The sequence below is a fragment of the Homo sapiens genome, chromosome 4, assembly GCF_000001405.40.
Source record: "Homo sapiens chromosome 4, GRCh38.p14 Primary Assembly".
Classification (NCBI taxonomy): Eukaryota; Metazoa; Chordata; class Mammalia; order Primates; family Hominidae; genus Homo; species Homo sapiens.
The window spans coordinates 10,432,695-10,439,051 of record NC_000004.12 but is presented as its reverse complement, the minus strand read 5'-3'; positions in this window follow the sequence as shown (position 1 = coordinate 10,439,051).

Sequence of the window (6,357 nt, the reverse complement as noted above, 5' to 3'; positions counted from 1 at the left end):
AAACATATTAAAACTGAAGCTCAGGAAAATTAATAACACCTGATTGGCCAGGTTTACATGGTGCCCTTTCATTTCAAATGTTATGAGCCTTCATTTATCACATCATTTAGAAAATAGCTTAACTTGTAGGTACATGTCATGAAATGAATACATTTCTAACAAAATGAGGGAGTAGGGGCAGAACTGTGTTGAGTATTTGTGTGTTCTAACCTTGATTTTGAAGGCCCTCCAATCACTATATTTTTTTGTTTGTTTTTGAGACGGAGTTTCACTCTTGTTGCTCAGGCTGGAGTACAATGGCGCGATCTCGGCTCACCGCAACCTCTGCGTCCTGGGTTCAAGCGATTCTCCTGCCTCAGCCTCCTGAGTAGCTGGGATTACAGGCATGCGCCACCATGCCCAGCTAATTTTGTGTTTTTAGTAGAGACGGGGTTTCTCCATGTTGATCAGGCTGGTCTCAAACTCCCAACCTCAGGTGACTGGCCCACCTTGGCCTCCCAAAGTGCTGGGATTACAGGTGTCAGCCATGGCACCTGGCCTATATTTTGTTAATAAGTGACAGGATAAATGAAGTAATGTGTAGGATAGTGTTTTGGCAGGAGCACCTTGATAGCCCCTGGTATCTGCAAAGCCCTTTGCTTTGTAATATGTAGAGTCTTTTGTTGCCACAGCTACACTCAGTGTGAGTTGCTTTTTAAGGTTTGCACATCCATCAGACTGCTGGGATGAGATGCCATGCTAAGGATCTAGACTTAGTCTAGGGTAGTGCTGTCCAATAGAAACGTAGTGTAAGCCAATTTTTAGCCACATTTTAAGAGAGTAAAAAGATCAGATGAAATTAAATATTTAATTTGTCCCAATACGTCTAGAATATTATCTTCAATCAGCAAAATATTTACTGCGACATTACACACTTTTTCAAAAAAAAACAAGTTTCAGAAATCTGGTATGTATTTTATATATACAGCATGTTTCAAGTTTAATGCTAAATTTTCAGTTATTGTAATCAAAAGTAACCCTACCAAAACCCTGAAGTTTTTAATGGAAAGATATTTTACACTGCTTCAATTTTAAAATTGTAGTTCCTCAGCCACCCTGGCCACATTCCAAGCATTCACATGCCTAGTGGCTGCTCTACTGAACAGCGCAGAAGGGGAGTTGTGCTGTATTGTGAATATTTATATCCTTCTCTGAGCTCCTTGATGGGAAGCATTGGATTTTATTTTCTATATATCTGAAACTAGGGTAAGCTAGGCTAGACTTCACTCTCCCACATTTAGGCAATGCCAATTCTGTGCCAGGTTCTGTATTAATGCCTGGCAGTTCTATTTCTAAGTCTGTACCCTAGAGAAACTGTTCACATGGGACTTTTTGAGGTTGGCACTCATTTATTTGGCAATTCTAGTTGTTCAACCAAAGAAATGTTTATTTCTCATTCATGCTACATGTCCGCCATGGGTCAATAAGGGGCTCAGCTCCCCACAGTCTGTTAGGGACCTAGGCTGATGGAGGGCCCCATCTTGTAGCTGCCCCTCGGGATCACTCGGGTGTCTCCATCACTGAGACAGGAGAGGAGTACGAGGAGAGGATATTGCACCGGTGAGAAACAACACACAGCATGCCACTCACAACCAGCTGCCCAGAACTGCTCACAGAACCTAACAGGGCTATTCAGCACCACCATCTTTGCACATAGGAAAAACAAGAGAACCAGTGTATTGATAAACACCAATGATGTCAAACACACTGGGTCATATGGTGCATACTGGAGAAGTATAAATGTCAATTATCTATGTGGAAAGCAACTTCCAATCTGATAGTTGTGAAATGGTAACATCCTGATAGGAGTTGAAGATCTGCAGAAACGGGAATTTCAAGATAATATTTGGCAATACTAAACTTGAAACAATGTCTTGTTTTCATTTTCCTAATTAATGAGCTAGTACCTCTTTGCAAATATTGATTGGACATTTAAATTTCCTGTGAATAGCCTGTTTATTGGGTATTTGAATTTTCTGTGTATACTCTATATTCTTTGTCTACTATTGAACTGTTCATTTTAAACTTTTAGAAGAAAATGTGGGTACTCTTAAAAATTCATAGAAAGGCCAGGTGCGGTGGCTCACGCCTGTAATCCCAGCACTTTGGGAGGCTGAGGCGGGCGTATCACCTGAGGTCAGGAGATCAAGACCATCCTGGCTAACACGATAAAACCCCGTCTCTACTAAAAATACAAAAAATTATCCGGGCGTGGTGGCGGGTGCCTGTAGTCCCAGCCACTACGGAGGCTGAGGCAGGAGAATGGCGTGAACCCGGGAGGCGGAGCTTGCAGTGAGCCGAGATCATGCCATTGCACTCCAGCCTGGGTGACAGAGCGAGACTGTGTCTCAAAAAAAAAAAAAAAAAAAATTCATAGAAAAAAAAACTTTCTTTAGGATTGGGCTTCTTGTACTTTTTTTTAAAATAAATCTTTCCCTATCCTGAGTTTAAGAAAATAGTCTTTCATGTTAAATTGGTATTAAAAATAAACTTTCATACAACAGTGGAATCCATATTGTTATACAAGTGGTCAGTTACAGGTTTTTTAAAAAATCTTTTTCAAAAGGATCTAGGTCCAGATTTTTTTTTCTATATGAAAAAATTTCAAAGTCATATTAAGTCCACACTCTCACAAAAGTTAATTCCATGTGGATTATTCACTCACTTGTCCTAAAACCCACTGTTAGTCCAGGCTTTTCCTCCTATTTGTCACATTACATCCGTATATCCAGGTTTCATATTTGTGTGGATCTATGCCTGGGTCTCTGTGCTGTGGCATTATGCTGTTTGTTGTGACTCTTCTTCAAAATGATTTCTAATATTACAGTTTACAGGTATATAAAATATGGAAAGGCTTCCCATAGTGGATATTATAAAGATGCAGAAATGGCAGTAATGGCCTTGGCTATTCTTGATTCTTTGCTCTTCCATATGCATTTTATTTTTTATTTATTATTATTATTTTTGAGACAGTTTCATTCTGTCTCCCAGGTTGGAATACAGTGGTGCAGTCAGCTCACTGCAACCTCTGCACCTCGGGTTCAAGCAATTCTCCTGCCTCAGCCTCCCGAGTAGCTAGGATAGCAGGCACGTGCCACCACACCTAGCTAATTTTTGTGTTTTTAGTGGAGACGGGGTTTTACCAAATTGGCTGGGCTGGTCTCGAGCTCTTGACCTCAAGTGATCTGCCTGTCTCGGCTTCCCAAAGCACTGGCATTACAGTCGTGAGCCACCGCACCCAGCCCATATGCATTTTAAAATGCTTGTCAAACCCTGCTGAGATTTTTATTGGAATAACATTGGCATTTTAGTTGCATGTGAGGAAAATCGTCATCAATAGGAACATGCTATTACCATTTAGTCTGGTAAATGTAATAGAAATAAAGTTGTGCCAGGCCAATAACATTTTACAATTTATTTCCTATATTTTGGGGAAAAGATCTCATTTGCAATAAAAACTAAAACCAGGGCAGGCACAGTGGCTCACACATGTAATCCCAGCGCTTTGAGAGGCTGAGGCGGGCGGATCACCTGAGGTCGGGAGTTCGAGCCCAGCCTGACCAACATGGAGAAACCCCATCTCCACTAAAAATACAAAAAATTACCTGGGAGTGGTGGCACGTGCCGGTAATCCCAGCTACTCAGGAGGCTGAGGCAGGAGAATCGCTTGAACCCTGGAGGTTGCCGTGAACTGAGATCGCACCATTGCACTCCAGCCTGGGCAACAAGAGCAAAAACTCGATGTCTCCCCAAAAAAAAAAAAAAAAAAAAACCTACAGGTTGCAAAATCAATTAAAGCCATGAAGAAGGAAGAGAGTTAAATAATTTGCAAATGAGAGAGGTCAACAACATTCAAAGTATAAATTCATTATTTAAAAAAAAATCAATTGGCTTTCTATGCGTGAGAAATGGAAACAGCTCTAGTAGGAATGTTTCTATCACCTCTTCTCTTGGACACTTTAAGAAAAGCCCTAACCAATGTAATATGAAATTAAAAATAAAGATGGGGGTATCCCTGTATTTTCTAGGTAGACAAAAGATTAGGGATTAAAATAAGTCAATACTGCAAGAGACAAAAGGGTTCTTAGAGTTTTGCCATTTCATTTAAGCATAATTTTTGTCATAGGTTTTTGGAAGATGCTCAGCTTAAGGCAATTTCCTTTATTCCCAAATTGCTTGATTTTTTTCATAAAATTTTAACATGAAGTTTATGTGACTTTTGTTTCTTTTAAAAGAGTTTTATCTCTTAAAAATACTTGAATAGATTTTTCTCATGTTTCTCCTTATACTCCTGGAATCAACCCTACCTTGTCATGATCTGTGTGTATAAATGGTACTGCTAAGTTTGCAGATCTAATAGAAATGTTTATGTAAGTGATATTGCTCTGTAATTTCCCCTTTCAGTACGTCCTTACAGTGTTTCATTATCAAGATGTTACTACTCCCATTGAGTGAGTTGGGTCACTTTCTGTATTTCTGTATTTGATGTAAATTGTTTCAGAGAATAGAAATTAACTGCTACTTGAAGTGGTAAGCCATCTCACCAATGGAAACATCTTGGGTGGGTGTCTTTAACAGAGAAGGAGAAACATGAATGGGGTCAGGAAGGAGGGTTTGGAAAGTCTCAAATTCTGATTTGATTGCTATATTGATTTTTTTTCAGGTTTTCTATTTTTAATTTTTCTACTGTATTCAGTTCACTATCACTAGAAACACAGAAATAACAGTCGTGTTCTTTTGGCATATAAATGCAAGTCAGATGATGCACCTTTTATTATTGTGTGGGACACACAGATCTATATGCCATTACCTTAGCCTCCTGCTCCAGCTGCAATAACAAAATACCATAGACTGGGTAGCTCATAACAGAAATTTAAGACTGGAAAGTCTAAAATCAAGGCGTAGGCAGATTCAGTGTCTAGTGAGGGCCCACTTTCTGGCTCATAGAAGGCACCTTCTCACTGAATTCTCACATGGTAGAAGGAATGAATGAGCTCTCTAAAGTCTCTTTATAAGGGCACTAATCCCATGCATGAGGGCTTTACCCTCTTGACTTAATCACTGCCCAGAGGCATCCCCTGTTAATATCATCACATTGGAGATTAGGTTTCAACATATACATTTTGAGAGGACACAAACATTCAGACCACAGCAGCCATTGTGTGCATAACCTACATCCTCCATCTGTTATTTGAGTTGTATATTACATAGGTTGTAAAGTGAAATATTTGGGTAGGTATGCATTAATACTGTTCCAAAATAATGTTTTATTCAGTTAATGAATGCAGCTCACGAAATCTCTAAAAGCATGGTTTTCCCCACCCTAACTGTGCTTAGAAACATGTCCTTATGTAAAAAAGACAGCTAGAAAGCAAATGGTGCTTGTTATAGAATGCACATTGACCAAGTTGCAAAGAATGGTGTCTGCTGCTGCTATTGCTAAACCTTACAAGTCTTCAAATATTCCTCAGAGCATTGGCCATTCATTGTACAAAGGGCTGCCTGATGTCAACACTGAGCCCATATTAGTCAGAAGAATATAACAAAACTAAAATTTGAAGTACGTTAAATACAGCAAAGGTTTATGCATCCCCATGTGAAGTCCACTACAGGCTGGACAGCACTCCTGCCAACCTCACCTTGGGGGCCACATGCTTCAGATGGCAGAACGCAGAACAAGGAAGATAGGGCAGGAGAAAGGAACACTGGCTCTTTAATGCCTTAGCCAGGAGGTGACACATGCCATGCCCCCAACATTCCATTAGCTGGAATTAGTTCAACAGTTTCAACTATCTGCAAGAGAAATCAGGAAATGTAGGGGACCTTGGGGAATATTTGCTAAATAACTTGCCACATTAACTGTCTGACTGCGCAAGTAACTTAGCCTCCCTGTGCCCCAATGCATGTAGTATTAGCTCTAATTTTATAGCTAAAACTAGCATATTTTATATCTTGCAAATTATGAGAATTCAAACACTCAACATGGTATCTCAGATAGTGTTGATTCAATAAGCACTTACTAATTGATTGACATCTTTTCTGGAGCAGGCACAGACCATCTTGATGTAACAGTGAGTATACTAGCAAGATTCTTGTCCTCATGTTGCCTAGAATTTGCTACTCAAAGTGTGGTCCTTGGTCTGATAGCATCAGCATTACCTGCTATCTTGGAAGAACTATAGAATTTCTGGCCCCATCCCAACCTCCTGGATTAGAATCTGCAGATGCCTGGATGGCTTGCATGGAAATGAGAGTGGGAGAAACACTGACGAGAACACTGCTCCTTAGTTTCTCCCTTCATCTAGTGAATTGTTTTCT